The sequence below is a fragment of the Homo sapiens genome, chromosome 8 (assembly GCF_000001405.40).
Source record: "Homo sapiens chromosome 8, GRCh38.p14 Primary Assembly".
In the NCBI taxonomy this organism is placed as follows: domain Eukaryota; kingdom Metazoa; phylum Chordata; class Mammalia; order Primates; family Hominidae; genus Homo; species Homo sapiens.
In genome coordinates this window covers 100,655,748-100,676,593 of record NC_000008.11, presented here as the reverse complement: position 1 = coordinate 100,676,593, position 20,846 = coordinate 100,655,748, and the positions used below count along the sequence as shown (strand labels likewise).

General features: G+C 44.6%; 1 protein-coding gene and 1 long non-coding RNA gene across 2 annotated transcripts in view, besides 1 other annotated feature; one reads left to right on the top strand and one right to left on the bottom strand.

The window, feature by feature from the left end:
• Window positions 1–7,407: 7,407 nt before the first annotated feature.
• Window positions 7,408–13,030, bottom strand: LOC105375672 (uncharacterized). Its single transcript, XR_001746019.2, has 4 exons — window positions 12,906–13,030; window positions 10,350–10,457; window positions 9,892–9,984; window positions 7,408–7,586 (listed from the first exon to the last, which is right to left on the bottom strand). It is a non-coding gene; the product is annotated as an uncharacterized LOC105375672 (long non-coding RNA).
• Window positions 8,580–9,190: an enhancer, noted in NCBI's record as "OCT4-NANOG-H3K27ac hESC enhancer chr8:101679632-101680242 (GRCh37/hg19 assembly coordinates)". NCBI's record gives its function as "activates a minimal SCP1, AML or CMV promoter by ChIP-STARR-seq in naive and primed H9 embryonic stem cells {active_cell/tissue: H9 hESC(naive and primed)}" and the evidence as "EXISTENCE:reporter gene assay evidence [ECO:0000049][PMID:30033119]".
• SNX31 (sorting nexin 31) overlaps window positions 13,009–20,846 on the top strand; it is a 90,712-nt gene continuing 82,874 nt past the window's right edge. The window contains exon 1 of the mRNA XM_011516899.2: window positions 13,009–13,452. The gene's annotated coding sequence lies outside the window, so the exon portion shown is untranslated. The remainder of the gene's footprint in view (window positions 13,453–20,846) is intronic.

Below are 20,846 nucleotides of genomic sequence, written 5' to 3'. Positions count from 1 at the left end.
CAGGCAAGGGTTGATGGAAAAAAAACAAATTATAGTCACTCAGTCTGAGCCACCCACAGAGTTAGAGGAGGCTCCCCAGCTGCATCAGGGTCATCCAGGAGCTTTGACATGTACTCGATTCCCAGGGCCTGTCGCTTGGAGAATCTGATTTAATAGGCCTGAGGCAGGAGGTTGGGGGCATGGTAGGGACTTTTTTTTTTTTTGGTAAAGGGCTTTATTGAGATACAATTCACATAGCATACAATTCACCCTTCTAAAGTGTACAATTAAATGTTTTCTGGTATATCCACAGAGTTATGCAAAATAGCACCACAATCAATTTTAAAACATTTTAACCAACCCCAAAAGGAAACCGTGTGACCATTAGCTGTCACTCCCCAATCACCCTGTCTCCCCAGTCTTCCCAGTCCTAGGCACCCACTCACCTACTTTCTTTCTTTCTTTCTTTTTTTTTTTGAAACGGTTTCACTCTTGTCACCCAGGCTGGAGTGCAATGGTGCGATCTCGGTTCACTGCAACCTCCGCCTCCTGGGTTCAAGTGATTCTCCTGCCTCAGCCTCCCGAGTAGCTGGGATTACAGGTGCCTGCCACCATGCCTGGGTAATTTTTGTATTTTTAGTAGAGATGGGGTTTCACCATGTTGGCCAGCTGGTCTCAAACTCCTGACCTCAGGTGATCCGCCTGCCTCAGTCTCCCAAAGTGCTGGAATTACAGGTGTAAACCACTGTGCCTGGCTCATCTACTTTCTGTCTCTATAGATTTACCTATCCTGCACATTTCATATAAATGGAGTCATATATTAATACTTTGTGATCTTTTGTGACTGGCTTCTTTCACTTTCCATAATGTTTCCAGGTTCATTCGTGTTGTTGTAGTATGTATCAATATTCCATTGTTTTTATGGACGAATAATATTCCATTGTATGGATACCACATTTTATTTATCAGTTCATCATTTGATGGACATTTGGGCTCTTTCCACTTTTTGGCTATTGTTAATAATGCTGGTATGATTATTCATGTACAAGTTTTTGTGTGAACAAGGCTTATTTTTAAAGTGCTCCCTGGTTGGGCATGGTGGCTGACACCTGTAATCCCAGCAGTTTGGGAGGCTGAGGAGGGTGGATCGCCTGAGATCAGGAGATCAAGACCAGCCTGGTCAACATGGTGAAACCTGTCTCTACTAAAAACACAAAACTTAGCTGGGCATGGTGGCACATGCCTATAGTCCCAGCTACTTGGGAGGCTGAGGCAAGAGAATTGCTTGAACCTGGGAGGCAGAGGTCGCAGTGAGCCGAGATCACGCCACTGCACTCAAGCATGGGTGACTGAGTGAGACTCCGTCTCAGAATAAATAAAATAAAATAAATAAAATAAAATAAAATAAAAAAGTGCTACCCTAGGAGGCTGAGGCAGGAAGATCTCTTGAGCCCAGGAGGTTGAGGCTGCAGTGGGCCATGTTTATACCACTACACTCCAATCTGGGCAACAGAGTGAGACCCTGTCTCAAAAAATAAAAATAAAAATAAATTGCTCCCCTACGTCAGTGGCTCTCAATCAGGGTTGATTTTGAACCCCCAGGGGACATTAGGCAAAGTGTGGAGACATTTTTGGTTGTCACACCTGGAGGAGGGGTGGTCCTGGCAGCAAGCAGGTAGCAGCCATGGATGCTGCTAAACATCCTACAGTGCACAGGGCAGCCTCCACAGTAGTCATCCTATGAAATGTCTGTAGTGCCGGGGTTGAGAATCTCTGCCCCAGGTGACTCAGGTGCACAGCTAGGAGTCTGGGGAGCCCTGAGGGTCCTTATTCTTCCTTCTTCCAGCTGAACCACATCTAGACAACTTCCAACCTTTCAAACCTCCGGCCTTGGCCTGGTGCAGTGGTTCATGCCTGTAATCCCAGCACGTTGGGAGGCCAAGGGGAAGAATTGCTTAAGCCCAGGAGTTAGAGACCAGCCTAGGCAACATAGCAAGACTCCGTCTCTACAAAAAAAAAAATCAAGAAAATTAGACAGGTGTGGTGGTGAATGCTTGTAATCCCAGCTACTCAGGAGGCTGAGGCAGGAGGATTGCTCGAGCCCAGGAGGTCGAGGCTGCAGTGAGCTGTGATCGCACCACTGCACTCCAGCCTGGGTGACAGAGCATGACCCTGTCTCTCAAGGAAGGAAAGAAGGAAGGCCAGCTTTATTTTTAAAAACCCCTCCAGAGAAAGAGAACCCATATTCCCCCAACCTTTTTTTTTTTTTTTTGAGACAGTCTCACTTTGTCGCCCAGGCTGGAGTGCAGTGGCATGATCTTGGCTCACTGCAGTCTCCGCCCCCTGAGTTCAAGTGATTCTCCTGCCTCAGCCTCCCAAGTAGTTGGGATTACGGGCACCTGCCACTGCACCCAGCTAATTTTTGTATTTTTAGTAGAGACAGCATTTCACCATCTTGGCCAGTCTGGATTTGAACTCCTGACCTCTTGATCCACCCGCCTCAGCCTCCCAAGGTGCTGAGATTATAGGCGTGAGCCACTGCGCCCGGCCGAGAACCCATATTCCTTAGAACTCTTTCCAGGGTCTGAAATTTATTGTTTATAATAAGGGTTCTTAACCCAGGACTTAGGGCAGTAGGGAATTTATAAACCTGAAATAGTTTACAAAATCGTAGGCACATGTAAGTTTTCCTGGAGAGTGGGTCTTTATTCTAAGTGGGCATGTGAGCCAGATCCTTCATGTCTTCTAAATCAATTTTCTCTTATCCTGAGTTTTCTGCAGCAACTCAGATAATTGTTATTTGATGTCAATTAATCAAGACTCAGAGCTGAAAGGGAGTCATTGTGCAGATAAGATGGAGGTTAAGCAGTTAGTTTGTCCAAGGTCACCCTGTTGACTGGTGGCAGAGACTAGCCTAGACTTGTTCTCTATCTCTCACAGGGAAGGGGCCTTCAATAGAATATTCTAGCAAAGTGGTTAAGAACATGGGCCTTGGAGCCAGATGGCCTGGCCTGGCATCCCTGTTGTGCCACCTGTGGTTGTGTGAACTTGGGCAACACACTTGTTTTTGTGCTTCAACTTCCTTATCTGAAAAATAGAACTAGTAGTAATAACCAACTAACATGCTTGTGAGAATTAAGTGATTAAATTACTTAGAATGATACCTACCAACTGGAAGAGCTTTGTTAGTTTTTATTTACAAGGTGCTGCTCTCTATTTTTTAAAACATATGAATAATAAATGTTAAAGTATAAAACAGCTGGGCATGGTGGCACATGTCTATAATCCTAGCACTTTGGGAGGCCTAGGTAGGAGGATTGCTTAAGCTCAGAAGTTTGAAAACCAGCCTGGGCAACATAGTGAGACCTTGTTCCTATTTAAAATATATATATATTACATATATTTTATATATATATAAAACAATTAATGCTGACATCATTCTAAATGTAATATGATTTCCCATTGTCATGTCAGTGTGACTTTTTTGGATGCCTCTGATGTTCAGTATATAATCTGTTAGATGGCAATAAGTGCTCTATAGAAGAATAGTAGGGTAAGCGGGGCAGGATTGAAGGGGTGAGAGGAGGGCATGGAGGGGTTTGCATAGGATGTTCAGAAAAGGCATCTCAGAGGAGGTGACATTTTAACAGAGGCCTGAAGAAAGTGAGGGATGAGCCATGTGGCCACCAGGGGAAAGAACATTAGGCAGAGAGAGCAGCCAGTGCAGAGGCCCTAGAGTGGGGATGTGCTTGCTTCAGGCAAGTCCAGAGTGACTGCCCCCAAGGAATGGGGAGCGGGAAGAGATGAGGTCAGAAAAGGATGGGAGCAGGGTGAGTTACTACCCCATATGAACTGCTGGAAGATGGGTAGGAGTGACATGGCCTGGCTTATAGGAGGGGAAAAGGATAGAAGCAGAGGGACCAGTTGGAGTCTATGTTATTAATCCAGGTGAGAGAGAATGGTGGTTACACCAGGGTGAGTGTAGGAGAAGGTGAAAGGGGGTGAAATTCTGGATATATTTTAAAGGAAAAGCCAACAGGCTTTGTCAATGGATGAGTTATGGAGTACGTGAGGGAGAGAGAGAGTCCAGGGTGTCTCCAAAGCAAACACTGGCCCCCTTCTACAACACAGTTCAAGTCCTGTAAATATTAATATCTTAAGCTGTGTTTACACATTAAACGTATTTAACTTTAAGCTCCTCGAATGCCAGACTAAGAAGCAAAACGTTCCCCAAATACTTAAGCCACCGTAGGAAAGCTAATGAAGTAAATGAGTAACAACAGTGATTTGCCAGTTATCTCAAACATTACAATATTGTTAATAAACTTGAAAAAATGCTATTTTATTTTTCAACTTAAAATCTAAAGTCTACAATTGAATACTCAATTACACATTTTACATTGGACTCACAAGGCTAATATGTTGCATACTCTACCATGCCAAGTCCTCTCAAACATCACAAACATTGTATCATTGTAGGTGCCTATTGATAAATATTACACAGACCACTTCTAAATGTAACACAAAAACATTGATACAATGGATTTAATTTTATCATCTCTAAGATTAAGTCTAAGAGTTTCCAGGGGTAAAGTCACATACCCAGGAAGGAAACATCCCAGGCAAACTAGAGGGTACCTTCTATTGACTGGGCTAAGATAACTGACCAATCAGATAGTTTTGGCCAGGACACAAGTTCTGAAGATACAGAGATCTAAGCAGAGTTTTGTGTGTTTTTGTTTTGGTTTGATTTTTTTAATGACAAGGAGGAACAAGTTGAGCCTACAGGAAAGGATTTCTTGCTCTCCCAGAAGGTTATGGTGGGTTGGGGTTTAACAGTCCCCAAATTTAAATTACTCAAATACTCATTGCTTAATTCTTGTGTAATTTTTGTTGACTTTATCCCCAGATTTGAGGAGACAATATTTTATAACTCCACTCAGGTTGCTTTACCACTTGATGGGATTCAACTATGAACATGGTTCTTAAACTTGGCTGCACAGTGGAATCAACAATCGAGCTCTGTGAACATTGAGACTGGTGTCCCACCCAGAGATGCTGATTTGATTGATCTAGGGTGAGGCCAAGGCATTGGCATTTTAACAGCTTCCAGGTGATGCCAGTGTGCAGCCAGCCTTGAGATCTGTTGGTAGAAAGTGCTACTCTTGTTAAGTGTGAGGCCACAGCTTCCCAAGTCTTGATCATGTGGCAATTCAGAGAACTCTTTAGGGTCTTGGAGTACCTCAGGGGCCAGGGCAGGAATATTTACCAATGTCGAAATGATGCAGGATGTTTTTTAATGCTGCTTTGCCAGCTGGAGACCTCCACAGCTGGCAGTGTCCCTGCTCACTTGGCCTGCTGGACTGCACCTGACTTGCGCTTTGGGGTGGATCCTGCAGCCTCCACAACTGCACACTCAGCCTGCAGCAGGAGCGAACATGTGAGTGAGTGTGTGGTCCGGCCAGCTGCTCCAAGCACTGGCACAGGAGTGGGCTCTGTGCAGGGCTTGTGACTGGACCAGGCGTGTTGCGGTGGACTCCAACGTCTAGACAAGGGGAATGCAGTGGCACCCAAACAGGGATGCCCATGACCCTGAAGCCCTAGAGTGGGTGTTACAGCATGCTAATAGCTCTTTTGTCCTGCCATCCATGGCCCGATGAACGGGGGTGTGTTAACAGCTCTGTCAGTCCTGTTGCTCCACTCCGGTCCTAGGCTCTGGGACTGGCCCAGACCCACCACTGCTTCCTGCCATGTGGGGCAGCTACCCTCTGCCAGCAGAGGCCAGGAGGGTTATAGTGTTACAGACTTCTTCATATCTGTGTTTGGTGGGTCTTAAGCTCTTGTCCCGCATCCAAGAAGAATGAGATTACACTGACAACTGGATGGTGAGGAGGGCAGAGAAGAGTTTTATTGAGTGACAAAACAGCTCTCAGTGGAGAGGGGACATGAGGGTGGTCCACCACCTGAAGTCAGGTGGTCTCTCTCTCAGTGTGGCTGGGTCCGGGGCTTTTATGGGCTAAGAATTGGGGACTGCATGCTGATTGGTTTGTGAGTATGCAAAAAAGGCTAAAACAAAAGTGCCACTCAAAGGTGGGCACAACAGTGTAATAAACTAATTAGGGAAGGGCAGGCATATGTAAAATAGGTGAAGAGTGGGGATCAATCAGAGGAAAGTGTGCCAAACAAGAAGAAAGGTTCTCAATCCAGTCCGTGGATTTATCTGGGACTTATGGCTGGGCTTTAAACTGTCCTCGGCTTGAAGGTGGGGTTCCACTGGGAACCCATCCCTGTCTGCCTAGGATTTGTCTGCCTCCTGCCACTATCCATTCATTCCTCTAGGGTTTGTTGAGTGCTGGCTCTGTGCCAGCCACTCCCCAAGGCACTGGGGGTATAGCAGTGGAGTAGACAAATCTCTGTCCTGTTGGAGATTGTATTCTAGAGGGGAGGTGGTTGGCAGTCAAACGAAGTCAATAGATAAGTGACAATGTGGAGAGCAGCTGTACAGCCTAGTGGTTCAGAGCCTGGACTCAACCTGGCTGGAGTCCAAACCCTGGCTGTGTGTGACTTTGGGCAAGTTACTTACCCCTTTTGCCTCAGTTTCCTCATTTGTTTGTTTGTTGTTTTTTTTTTTTTTGAGATGGAGTCTCACACTGTCCCCCGAGCTGGAGTGCAGTGGTGCAATCTTGGCTCACTGCAACCTCTGCCTCCCAGGTTCAAGCGATTCTTCTGCCTCAGCCTCCTGAGTAGCTGGGATTACAGGCGCCTGCCACCGTGCCCAGCTAATTTTTTGTATTTTTAGTAGAGATGGGGTTTCACCATGTTGTCCATGCTGGTCTCGAACTCCTGACCTTGTGATTCACCTGCCTCGGCCTCCCAAAGTGCTGGGATTATAGGCATGACCTACCACACCTGGCCTCCTTATTTGTAAAAAGAAGATGATGAATATACAGCATTAAGAGTGAGCACTCCAGCCTGGGCAACAAGAGTGAAACTCTGTCTCAAAAAAAAAAAAAAAAAAAAAAAGTGTGAGCTCTAATATAAGCGATGGACTTTGGATGATAATAATGTGTCAGTGTAGACTCATCAATTATAACAAAAGTACCACTCTGGTGGGGGAGACTGTGGGGTGGGCAGCAAGGAGTATTTGGATGGAAATTCTCTGCACTTTACATTCAATTTTGTTGTGAACCTGAAACTGATCTAAAAAGTAACGTTTGTTAATTTTTAAAATGTATTTATTTATGTTCCCACTATATTCCCACCTGTTTTATCTCACTATATTGACTAGGCTGGTCTCAAACTCCTGGCCTCAAGCAATCCTCCCAACTTGGCCTCCCAAAGTGCTGGGATTACAGGCATGAGCCACCATACCCGGCCTATTATTTTTTTCAAAAAAGATAATAAGAACAAGCTCAGAACCAATTCATAAAGTTATTGGGAGAGAATTAAGTGTTAATGCCCTTAATTACCTGAGTATGGTGGCATGCGCCGGTAGTCCCAGCTACTTGGGAAGCTGAGGCCAGAGTACTGCTTGAGCTCAGGAGTTCGAGGCTTCTGTGAGTTATGATAGTGCCTCTCCACTCCAGCCTGGGTGACAGAGTGAGACCCTGTCTCAAAAAAGAAAAAAAAAGTTATTAATATACTTAAAACACAGCAATTTCAGATAAATATGTGCGCGCACACACACACACACACACACACACACATATATTTTTTGAGACAGAGTTTTGCTCTTGTCAACTAGGTTGGAGTGCTATGGTGCGATCTTGGCTCACTGCAACCTCCGCCTCCCGGGTTCAAGCAATTTTCATGCTCACCCTCCCGAGTAGCTAGGATTACAGGTGTGCACCACCTGCCTGATTTTCTGTTTTTAGTAGAGACGGGGTTTCACCATGTTGGCCAAGCTGGTCTTGAACTCCTGACCTCAGGTGATCCACCTGCCTCAGCCTCCCAAAATGCTGGGATTACAGGTATGAGTCACCGCACCCGGCCTAAATAGAAAATATTTAGTAAGAAGTAACCATTATTTTAACATAAGATATTGATAATATTTTCTTCTCCAGCTTTATTAATGAGACTCTTTTGATGAAAAATCAAACTAGGTTAGGGGATAAAACAGGCACGAATAAGAGAATAAGGGTTGGGAGGGGAAGTGAGAGGGGTTCTTTTAGCTGGGGTGTTTAGGGAAGGGAAGGCCTCTTTGTGGAGGTGGCAGTTACGCAGAGACCTGAAGGAAGAGAGGAATGGACTCATAAACTATCTAGGGATGAGAAAACAGCCAAAAACCAGGGCCTGAGGCAGGAGTCAGCTTGATAGGCCCAAGAAGAAGAGGGCAGCAATGCATGGGGTGGAGTGAATGGGGAATGAGCCCATGGTGTCATCCAGCACTTCTGCTTATGGATCATGATCTCACACTAGCTATGAGTCTCAAGTCTTTGTATCACTCGGTCCTGTACCAGGCCATGGAATATGCTGTATAAATGTTTATTGAATAAAGAAAAAATAATGATTAACCCGTACAGCCCCTCCATCAGCAAATTAGAATATCAATATTCTAGGCTCAGTTGTTCACTCCCTAGCTCCAGGCACAACCCAACTGAAAGAAGTGATATTTATGGAGCTCTCCTAAGGCTTTGTTTCTATAAAAAAATATAGAGTTCAGCCCACAAGGAGGATGTCCAGATGGGCAACCAGTTGATGAGAACAATGCAAATCCTTTGCTTGGTTCTTCCAAGTGAGTGGATACAATTCCCTGGAGTGCCATTATTATGTACAACTGCTTATATGCAGTCAGGGATTACCAAAATTAGTGCTCCACTAGCGGAGTCCTGGGGACTGATTCAACATTCAGCCGAGGAGCTTGGCTGCCAAGCCCAGCTCTCTGGCGTGGCCATCTCCCGCTGTGCACAGCATAGCTGGAATTCCTGCCAATCTTAGGCAGGAAGCTTTGTTATGTTGCATCATCGATGTTGTTTAGAGGGGATCCTGGCTTTTTCTCTTGCAGTTTTCTGCATTTCAATGATCATTTTCTGTTTCTCTCCATCCTTAGCAATTGGATTTGTAGTGGACTTGTTCTGTAAGCCCTGCAGGCTATAGCAGGGAATGTTTCGTCAACACTTTTCCGTTTCTTAGGTTTCTAAGTCATGAATATTTTTTTTTAAATTTTTTTGTCCATAATTGTCGCTTTAGCCTGTCCAGCTTCCCTTCTGCCTTCATGTAGTAACAGCACCCCATTTTCCCTTTGTGGAGCCCCTCCCCACTCCATGCCGCCCTGAGAAGCTATGTATCTTGGGGTCCTGCCTGTTCTGCCTCCCTTCTTACCCCTTTCCCAAGGGTGCCCCACTAACCAAGCTAGCCAGGAGCACTTCCTTTCTTGGTCACCCCTTGGGTTCAGGGGTGGACTATGACCCACGCTAGACCATCTGGGTCAATCTTGCAAGTTGGCAAGGTGATGCTCATTAGGAGGGAGTACACAGCCCTCTTCCTCTAAGACAGTGGTTCTAAAATCTAACACTTTCTTCTTATAAACAAATACTTTATTATCCTTTTAATATACTGAAAGGTAATAGATAATGTACATGTTATTTAAAACCTCAGGCAGGGTGCAGTGGCTCACACATGTAATGCCAGCACTTTGGGGGTGGGAGGATGGCTTGAAGCCAGGAGTTCAAGACCAGCCTGGGCAACAGAAAAAAGACACTGTCTATACCAAAAAAAAAAAAAAAAAAAAAATCAATATGATGCCCTAACTGTAGTAGAAAAGAGAAATTAAAATAGCGTATAATAAAATAAAATCATTTCTAAAATAGCATATAATAAAATAATAATGCATCAATAAGTAAATGCATGGTTATGCCCACACTAGAAGACACAATGAGGGAGTCGGATGCTTGCTCAAACATGTAGAATTACCGTGAGTGTGACAGCCACAGATGAAGCCATATGCAGGTGTGCTGTGTGATACCTCCAACACCGGAAGTGGCATTGCCATCGGCGATGTGGTTTCTGAAACAGTGAAATCATGAACAGCCCTTGGCAAAATTTCAAACAAAAGAAAACTTTCCTTTGTTTTACACAAGGTAGTATGTATGGACAACTCAATGTATATTAAAACTGTGCAATAAATACTTTATATATAAAATAGCGTTAAGTTTAGGCTCAATTAATTACAAATAGGCTTTCCACCCACATAGATGTCCAGTTGGACATTATAAATTTGTGTGAGACACAGGATAATTCTTTGTGTAGGACTATTCCATGCTTCACAGCAAGTCTAGCATAAAATTTAAGCAGTAGCTTTCCACCATCATTGTGACGACAAAAACCATCCCCACAAATTCCCAAAATGCTCTTCAGGGGGTGCTACTGACCTCCCCTTCCACACACGAAGAAGCACTGTTCCCGGAATGAGTGGCTGTAACTGCTGGCAAACCGGAACTACTTGTAGTCATCTTTCCCAGCCTCATGGAAACAGCCATCTATAGAAGAAGCAATTGAGACCAACGTGGAGAGGAAGGCAGAAATGAGAAGTGATAAGAGAGAGGCAAAGCCCCGAAGATATTATTTGAGATCCCAGATTCATGTATGCATGATGTCAGATCACATCTGTATTTCCCAGTTTGCATGAATGTCAATTTTCTTTTTGCTTGAGTTACATTGAGTTTAGTTTCTGACATATACAACCAAAAATTAGACTAATACGTATTTCAAAAGGCCACTGTACATATAATTTAAACGTTTTTGTTTTGCTTCTTTAATGATATTTTGTTATTATCACAAATTTATTTTTTAGTCCTGTAAAGTAGGAATAGAAAGGGGAAGTGAACTCCAGGGTGCTATGTCCTAGCAGGTCAGACTTAGTAAAGCCTGTGAGCACATGGCCCTACCTTTTCTTTTTCTCATGGAACTGCTACACACACACACCACACACACACATATACACCACACACACACACACACACACACATGCATATTCATGTAGGATGGCCACATTCTCTGCTGATTAGACCAGGCATGGACAAATCAAATTCTCTTTCCCAGGAACTTCAAACCAGGTTACTAGCAGACTGAATCACTCTCTAAGGCTGGAACTGTTACAGGTAACATGAAAACGAGGATGGAGAAGGGCAAGAGTTACACAGTGACTATACTCTGCCAGGTTATTTTGGGAAGAAGGGAAAACGGATTAGCAGATGTGCAGAGAAAAGAGATATAGAGAGTTTCAGAAACTTTCCAGTTTCAAGATCCATCCCTTCTCAAGACCCAACTATATATATCCTGTCCTACAGTTCTTAAAAGAACCCCTGTACACTAAGTACATTTCCCCTTTTTATTCAGGATGTCTCAGCCAGGCACGGTGGCTCACGCCTGTAATCCCAGCACTTTGGGAGGCTGAGGTGGGCAGATCGCTTGAGTCCAAGAGTTCGAGACCAGCCTGGGCAACATGGCAAAACCCCATCTTTACAAAAAAAATTAGGATATTTCTAATGAGTTTCTAGGACTAGTGTCTAAAGAGTTATAAGCCCACATCTCACTCCTATAGGTATTCTAAGTTTTCTCCTCACATCAAATTAGATAGAATTAGATCAGATTACATCATAAAGCCACACTGCAAAGCAGGATCAACTCCTGCAAAATTGCCTTCAAGGGGTCCGGCTCAGGGTGGGGAGGTAATGTGTTGCCCTTGGGTTTAATCAAATGTCAACACAAGAAACAACTGGAGCTGTGGTTCAAATTCAGGCTGGGACTCTCATCAGCTGTGTTTCTTTAGGTAAATTACTTCAGACTCTCCTGATCTTTAAACTTGGGACAATAATAACCATGACAGCTAACTGAGATGATCGAAGACAAATGTGCTTAGCTCAGCACCTGGGTGTAAGTCAGGGCCCAAACATTGTTTCTCCTATGACTTCCCCTTTCCTCCTTACCACATTTCAAGAAAAGGAAAGTGGGTGGGGCGTGTGTGGTGGCTCTCGCCTGTAATCCCAGCACTTCGGTGAGGCTGAAGAGGGTGGATCACTTGAGGTCAGGAGTTCAAGACCAGCTTGGCCAACATAGTGAAACCCCGTCTCTACTAAAAATACAAAAATTAGCTGGGCGTCGTGGTGCGCATCTCTAATCCCAGCAACACAGGAGGCTGAGGCAGGAGAATCACTTGAACCCGGGAGTCAGAGGTTGCAGTGAGCCGAGATCGTGCCACTATACTCCAGCCTGGGTGACAAAGTGAGACTGTGTCTCAAAAAAAAAAAAAAAGGTGGGGAGAGGGGAGGTAAACTCCAGTATTTTCAGGGTGTTTAGCTGTTAACCAGTTCTTCCCAAAGCATTAGCACAACAGGCAGTATCTTAGAATTTCAGATCTAAGATTATCTTAGAAATTCTGATAAAGCACAGAGGTTATCTAGTCCCACCCCTCACTTGATTTTATTTTTCATTTTAAAATTTTTTATCAAGACTGTAGTTGTATACAGGTTAAAGAATCAACTAGTTCCATAAGATTTATGTGGAAACAGCAGACTCAGGCCTCACTCCATTGTCTCCCTTTCAAGAGGCAACCTTTTTCTCTGTGCTTGCCCTTCCTAGAGTGGATCACGCTTGGAATCGAATCCACTTGTGTTCTTTCTTCCTGAATGTCTGGCTTCCCTGTAAGACTGTGTGAGCACAGAGACATCTACTGTGGGACCCACAGCCCATCCACAGTGCCAGATCCGCCATAGGTATCCACTATATATTCATTCTCTCCTTTCTTGGCTGAAAACCAGGCCACCTCGCTTGGCCAGCTCACTGCCAGAGCCACCAGCTCAACCTTGCGCCTACAACTCCCTGACTAGAGATGCAGAAAAGCTGGTTGTCCCCAAGTTCATGTTTACTTAACCAAAATCAAAGTCCGATAGTTGAATAGTAAGACAAGCTCAGCAGGCAGGACGTACCCAGCCACATTCTTATTTACAGTGCACACTGGCATGGCTGAAAACGCCTTTCCTTTATTCTCCGGCCATGGAGCTACGGTTCTCATTTCTGTTGAAGAAACAAAATCTTCTTTATAGGACCTTTTACTCCGATAGGGTTTCCAGAGGGCTCCACTGTGACTGCTTCAGAGCTGGGGGACATCGCCGTCTTAATTCACATGGTATCCTCGCAACTGAGGAAGAGGAGCCAAAAAGCACCAAAAGCAGAAACAAAACAACTCTGAAAAAGCATTCCTCAAAAGCCCTGTGCATTCAAAAAAGGCTTGGTTGGGTTATTTCCAGTTGTACTGTCGAGAAAAGAGCTATTTCTGTCTTTTAACTCTCAAATACAAAGATACTGCTCAGTGGGAATCAAACATTCCTAATTTTCATTTATTTATCTTTTCATTTTAATTTTGGATTGGGGGGGGTATCTGCGCAGCTCTGTTAGACGGAGTATATTGCATGGTGCTGAGGTCTGGGCTTCTGATGGTCCCGTCGTTCAAGTAGCAAACGCGCTGCGCGAAAGGTAGGTTTCCAACCCCCGCTCCTTTTGGAGCCTCCAGTGTTTGTTGTTCCCAGCTTTGTGTCTGTGTGGACCTGATGTTTACCTCCCATCTACAAGTGAGAACATGTGGTAGTTTGTTTTCTGTTCCTGCATTAATTTGCTTAGGATAACGGCTTCCAGCTACATCCATGTTGTTGCAAGGAGCACGATTTTCTTCTTGTTTTTTTAATAGTAGAGCACTGATTTATTTTCAAAAGTCAAAAATATGTATTTTTAAATTAGGCCAAGTGTGTTATGATACTCTATTTTTGGGAACAAATATTTCTAGCACTGAGCAAATTCCTACCTCAAAATGCTCTCCATTCAAGCAACAGCTGAAATTGATATTGTAGAGGGGACTTAAACATCTGGTAGGACAGTTTAGATGAGAAAGGATGGCAGTTATTTATTTTTATTTTATTTTTTTGAGACGGAGTCTTGCTCTGTGGCCTAGGCTGGAGTGCAGTGGCGCGATCTTGGCTCACTGCAACCTCTGCCTCCTGGGTTCAAGGTATTCTCCTGCCTCAGCCTCCCAGGTAGCTGGGATTATAGGCGCCTGCCACAACGCCTGGCTAATTTTTGTATTTTAGTAGAGACGGGTTTTCACCACGTTGGCCAGGCTGATCTCAAACCCCTGACCTCAGGTGAACCGCCCACCTTGGCCTCCCAAAGTGCTGGGATTACAGGCGTGAGCCACCATGCCCGACCCAGCATTGCAGTTATTAAGAGCTTGGGTGCTGCAAATACATGGTACAAGTGCCATCTCTCCCTACTCCTGCCCCTGACAGGCATTGCTGAGTGATCATAGCAGTTTAACATGACAGTTGAGAATACCGGCTTTAGAATCACACTGTCTGGGTTCATATCCTGGCTCTGTCATTTAACAGCTGCATAACCTTGGGCAGTTTTCTCAATCATGGAGTTTTTCAGTGAGCTCATCAATAAAGGGAGGAGCAGAAGAGTACCTACTACATGTCATGAGGTTAAATGATTTAATACGGCTGAGCACGGTGGTTCATGCCTGTAATCCTAGCACTCTGGGAGGCCAAGGCAGGTGGATCACTTGAGGCCAGGAGTTCAAGACCAGCCTGGCCAACATGGCGAAACCCTGTCTCTACTAAAAATACAAAAATTAGCTGGACGTGGAGGTGCATGTCTGTAATCCCAGCTACTCCGGAGGCTGAGGCACGAGAATTGTTTGAGCCTGGAAGGCAGAGGTTGCAGTGAGCCAAGATCATGCCACTGCACTCCAGCCTGGGCAACAGAGCAAGATTCTGTCTCAAAAAAAAACAGTGGCTGGATGCAGTGGCTCACACCTGTAATCCCAGCACTTTGGGAGGCTGAGGCAGGAGGATTGCTAGAGCCCAGGAGTTTGAGACTAGCCTGAACAAAATAGTTAGACCTAGTTTCTACAAAATAAAAAAAAAAACTGGCCGTGTGTGGTGGTGCATGTTATAGTCCCAGCTCCTTGGGAGGCCGAGGTGAGAGGATGACTTGAGCCCAGGCGGTCGAGGCTGCAGTGAACCATAATCCTTCCTGGGTGACAGAGTGAGACCCTATCTAGATTAAAATATATATATATTAGCTATCATTATTTCCCACTAACCTCATTCTTTTTAACACAGGGCCTCAGGTGTTCGCTACCTGAATCAGAGCCAACACTCAGTTCCAGTCTTGTTATTCCTGGTTTTGATGGACTTTTTTGATCTTCTTGCATTTATGAGAATTTATGATTCTATAACTTTCTAATCCTCTGAACCTCTCTGGGCCTTAGTGTTTTTCATCAGTAATATGGAACTTATAATATCTACCTGCTTTTGCCGGGCGCAGTGGCTCACGCCTGTAATCCCAGCACTTTGGGAGGCCGAGGCGGGCAGATCACCTGAGGTCAGGAGTTTGAGACCAGCCTGGCCAACATGGTGAAACCTCGTCTCTACTAAAAATACAAAAATTAGCTGGGCATGGTGGCACATGCCGGTAATTCCAGCTACTCGGGAGGCTGAGGCAGGAGAATCGCTTGAACCTGGGAGGCGGAGGTTGCAGTGAGCCGAGATCACGCCACTGCACTCCAGCCTGGGCGACAGAGAGAGACCCTGTCTCAAAAAAAAAAAAAAAATATCGACCTGCTTTTCTGGCAGGTAGGATTGTTGTGAAGATTGAATGTTCATCAGAATGCTCCTAAAAACTGTATGGCATGAGGAAAATATAAAGGGATGATCCATGCTGCATTAGCACGAATGTGTGATTGCCAGGGCTTGGTCTGCCAGCAGAACCCGATACTGAGTAGAACCTCTCAAAGCAGCCCTTTTACAAATATTATTCAGATTTATGATTCTAGTGTAAATGCCTTTGTGAGCTCATTTTATGGCTAATCGTTGGGGTCTGTGGAGAGGAGGGATTCAGAGCAAGTACACTGGAGTTTGACAGGCCCAGGCCAGGCTGCTGGGAGAGGCCAGGCCAGTGTTAGTGGGGAAGGCTGAATATAGGAACTTTCTGGGCATCAAGTTTGACCCCTACAGAACCTTCTTCTGTCAGGTCAGGGACGCCTGCCACTTGAGTTAGAGCCCCGTGCTGAGTGACATTGCAGGACCTGGTTTGATCTCTTGTGTAAAACACAATCATTTAGTATCACTCTGAAGAGCCTGCGGGCATGGGTAAAACATTGTCTTTACAGGAAACAGCATACATTAGTGGCTGATAACTCAAATGAAGTAAATTTAAAATAAATAATAAAAATTGCTGCAAAGAGTTTAGGCTTAGAGAGCCTGGATTCAATTTCTGGCCCTGCCACTTTTAAACAATGTGACTGGGACAAGCTCACCTCTTTCTGCTTTAGTTTTTTAATCTGAAAATCAGCATTCTACTATTATTACTACTGCTAATACCATTAGCTAATCTGTGGGTAGGTGTGAAGATTGAACAAAGTAGTTTACGTAAAATGGTTCTCTGGAAGATGGTAAGTGCTCAGAGAAAGGTAACTAATAATCATAATAACTGATATATAATTTGAGCAAAATCATTTCACTGGCATAATTTACTTTCAGCCAAAGAGTGATCTTAATCATATTTTCATTCTTTTTTCTCCTGTAGTTCCTAAGTCATTTTTCTATCTATTGTTAATCCTTCTATTATTATCTTTTTCATTATATAGAGAAATGATACAGTAGAGGTGTCAGTAGATCAAAGAGTTTGTCTCATTTTACCTATGAAAGCAGAATAAGGAGAAAAAGGAAAAGGATTAAGTGAAAAAAAAACAAAAGCTCTAAAACTGTATGTCTTGAAAGACCTCATTTTGTGGTTGGGGGTAACTTATAAAGCCAGAGTTGAAAAGACTGGAAAGATATAAACTAAAATTGTACCAAATGTTTGCCAAAAGATCCAAACCAAAACACAAACAGTAATTACTCTTTGTCTTGGGGTTGAGGAAACTTTTTACTCTCTTCTTTTGGTTTATCTGTGTTTTCTAAATTTTATACAATGGATGGATATTGCTTTTACAAAAAAAACACTTAAAAATAGTTCTGATGTCTATGGAGTTGCTACCTTTGTTCAGAAAAGCAGGAAACATTCTCGTTACTTGTAACCAATAAAGATAGCCATCTGTAAGCAAGCAAAAATAATTAAAATGCCTCAAACCAAATATCTTAGATATCTGTCTCTGAGACCCGTACATGGGACAGCCTCAGAAATGTCTTGCTGTGCTCCTTGACCCTGAATGAAAAGAACAGTGTGATGTCCCCCCACGCTTTTTTTTTTTTTTTTTTTTTTTTGTGATGGAGTTTTGCTCTGTCGCCCAGGCTGGAGAGGCTGGAGGGCAGTGGTGTGATCTCAGCTCCTGCAACCTCCGCCTCCTGGGTTCAAGCAAGTCTCCTGCGTCAGCCTCCCGAGTAGCTAGGATTACAGGTGCCCACCACCAGGCCCGGCTAATTTTTATATTTTTAGTAGAGATGGGGTTTCACCATGTTGGCCAGTCTGGTCTTAAACTCCTGACCTCAGGTGATTCACCCACCTCGGCCTCCCAAAGTGCTGGTATTACAGGCATGAGCCCCTGTGCCCGGCCAGCCCCCACACCTTCTTATGTCCCTTACTTAATTCTTGATCCTGCTTTGTAATCCATGTGTGAATCCCACATGAATCTAAGTTCTTCTTAAATCAACATATTTTCCACCTGTACAATGCAGTTGGAAACAACTGTATTCAAATTTGAATTCCGCCAAGCCTAGCAGCCAGTGGGCACAGAGTAGGTCCCACCAGGAGTGATCAAACAGCAGTCATTGGTTCACCCCTAACCAAGACCTCGACTCATCGCAAAGAACCTCTTGAAAGTATGGTGATCCCGGAAGCATCTCGTGTGTGCTTACACAAAGTCCACACTGGCCATGCCCCACTGTGGTCCTAGTGTCCCACAGATCACTGCAGAGCCTGGGCACTCGAGTTTCAAATCCTGGCTGTGGGACTTACCAGCTGTGCAACTTTGGGCAAGATGCTTAACCTCTCTGATCTCAGTTTCCTTATCAGTAAAGTGCAAACAGTAGTACCTATTTCATAGGGTTGTTGTGTGGATCAAGTGAAGTAATATTGTAAAGTGCCCTGAGTAGTGTCTGACACATGGGAAGTACCCACTACATGTAAACTATGCTCTTAAATACTGGCTAATGCCTCTGCAGCAGCATTTGAGCATCCACTCACTGTCGCTCAGTAGGTTTCTAGCAGCACAAGAAATGAACTTTCATTCTGCACATGAATGAAAAAGACTTTGAATAAAATCTCAGGCAATGTTTCACTGCAGTTTTGCCCCTGCAAGCTGCTTGGATGAGATTCTAACGTAGCTTCCCAGGGAGGCATTTTTCCAACAGTAGCCTCCATCTCCTAGACAGCAAGCTGAGCCAAAATTGCAGCCTTTAGAATCTTCAGAGCTGTGAGGGGCTCTGACCACAGTGGGTTTTACTCACTCGCCAGTAGTTTTCACACTTCGGGAGCATTAGCATCCCGATGCCCAGGCTATCCTCCAAAAAACAATTAAATCAGGATCCCTGAAGGTGGGACCCGGACATCAGCATTTTTTTAAAGCTTCCCAGATGATTCCCATGGTCAGTCCAGGCTGGGCTGAACTGACCTGCCGAGGTCTAAACAAAATGCCAAGGATCTGTGATTTTTCACAGTGGTAACAAATCACAGGTGGTGACCAATTTTTTTAGTTGTTTGTTGTTGTTGTTGTTGTTGTTGTTATTTTTTGTTTTTTTGTTTTCTTTTGAGATGGAGTCTACCTTTGTCACCCAGGCTGGAATGCAGTGGGGCGATCTTGGCTTACTGCAACCTCTGCCTCCCAGGTTCAAGGGATTCTCCTGCCTCAGCCTCCCAAGTAGTCCACTTCATTCTTCACCTCTGGACCTTCACCAGGTGACTGCACCATCTCCCGTGACCCTGATCTTCACCTGTATTCCCAATCCCCATCTTGTCCCTCCACTTCAGACTGGCTCCCAAGCCCTCCAGCTGGACCTCCTTCCCACACATCCAAGCACAGTCTGGACTCCACAGGTATACCTGCTGCCTCCCCAAATGAGGTCTCCTTGGCCAGCAAGCCTGTTCCACCCAAACCCAGAGGCAGCCTCGGGGCTCCCTTCCCTCCCTTTTCTTTCTTTCTTTTTTTCTTTTTTCTTTTTTTTTTTTTGAGTTGGAGTTTTGCTCTTGTTGCCCAGGCTGGAGCACAATGGCGCGATCTTGGCTCACCGCAACCTCTGCCTTCCAGGTTCAAGCAATTCTCCTGCCTCAGCCTCCTGAGTAGCTGGGATTACAGGCATGCACCACCATACCTGGCTAATTTTGTATTTTTAGTAGAGACAGGGTTTCTCCATGTTGGTCAGGCTGGTCTTGAACTCCCGACCTCAGGTGATCCGCCTGCCTCGGCCTCCCAAAGTGCTGGGATTACAGGTGTGAGCCACCATGCCCAGCCTCCCTTCTTTTCTTTACTTCCCATGCCTGATTAATTCAAGTCTTGTGTCACTTTCCCTCCTCATTTTTTAAAATTACATTTTAACAAAATATTAATTTACTGTAAGGTACAATATCCAATGGCACGCCATCTTTCTGTGTAAGCTTCATTAGCATGGTGATGACTGTCGAATGCTTGCTCTTGCACCTGTATTTCTTCAGAATTCAATGCCTGGTTCAGTTTTTCCATACTTCTCGCTGCCAGACTGGGACAGAGCAGGGTCACATCTGGGAATCATTGTCGGCAGCAACCATTACACATGAAGAGAGGATCTAAGAGAAAGGAAATGAAAACCTCCAGAATGTGGATCAAGTACAAGTAGCCAAACTTTGCAACACATTGTGAAAGGATCCCAAAGTGGTTTAGGGTCAACAAATCGTTAAAGCCTAAATGGTTATCTTTTGGTTTTTTGAGGACAGGAGCCATTTCTAGCTAATTATACAGTTTGTGCTTTGCTCTTAAAGGTTTTTTTTTTTTTTTTTTTTTTTTTTGAGACAGAGTCTCACTCTGTTGCCCAGGCTGGAGTGCAGTGGCGTTATCTCGGCTCACTGCAACCTCCGCCTCCCAGGTTCAAGAGATTCTCCCGCCTTGGCCTCCCGAGTAGCTGGGATTACAGGCACCCACAACCACGCCTGGCTAATTTTTGTATTTTTAGTAGAGACAGGGTTTCACCATGTTGGACTAGGCTGGTCTTGAACTCCTGACCTCAGGTGATCTGCCTGCCTTGGCCTCCCAAAGTGCTGGAATTACAGGTGTAAGTCACCATGTCTGGCTGTTTTTATTTATTTATTTTTCAGAGCAGGAGTGGAAGTTTCTTTAAAATCTTTAGAACAGTAAGGAAAGAAAAAAAGGAAGGAAAGTACACTTGGAAGAGGGACAAGCAGGTGACTTGAGAGACCAAGCATGCTTCTTAAATATTTTTAAATCCATCCTTTTTGACACTGCCCTTGCCTAGGCCTCTGTCTTCTGTTGACAGCCATTCCTGGGACATTAGCCTCTGCAATGTGAACAGGTACAATGTAAAACAGAGTCCCAGGTTTCCTTGCTGCAGATATCTCAGAGCCCTCCATACACTAAAGCACTTTGTGAACATCCAAGAGAGATTATCACAGATGATGCCACCCAGGCCTCCCACCCAGTTTTTGAGGAGCACTTTACAAGACTCATGTTCTACCATCTTTTCTCTCAAAAAACTTCCTTGCTGGTCTGACTGCCTCTAGTTATGTGACAGCCCCCCTCATTCCCTGCACACTGGCCACAGTGATCTCCATCTAGAACACATGCTGTCCACACCTTCTCCCATAGGTAGCTCTTCTTCATCTACAGGGCAAACTCCAAGCTTCTTGGCCCAGCAGCTGCAACCTTCAAAAGATCAGGCTGCCTC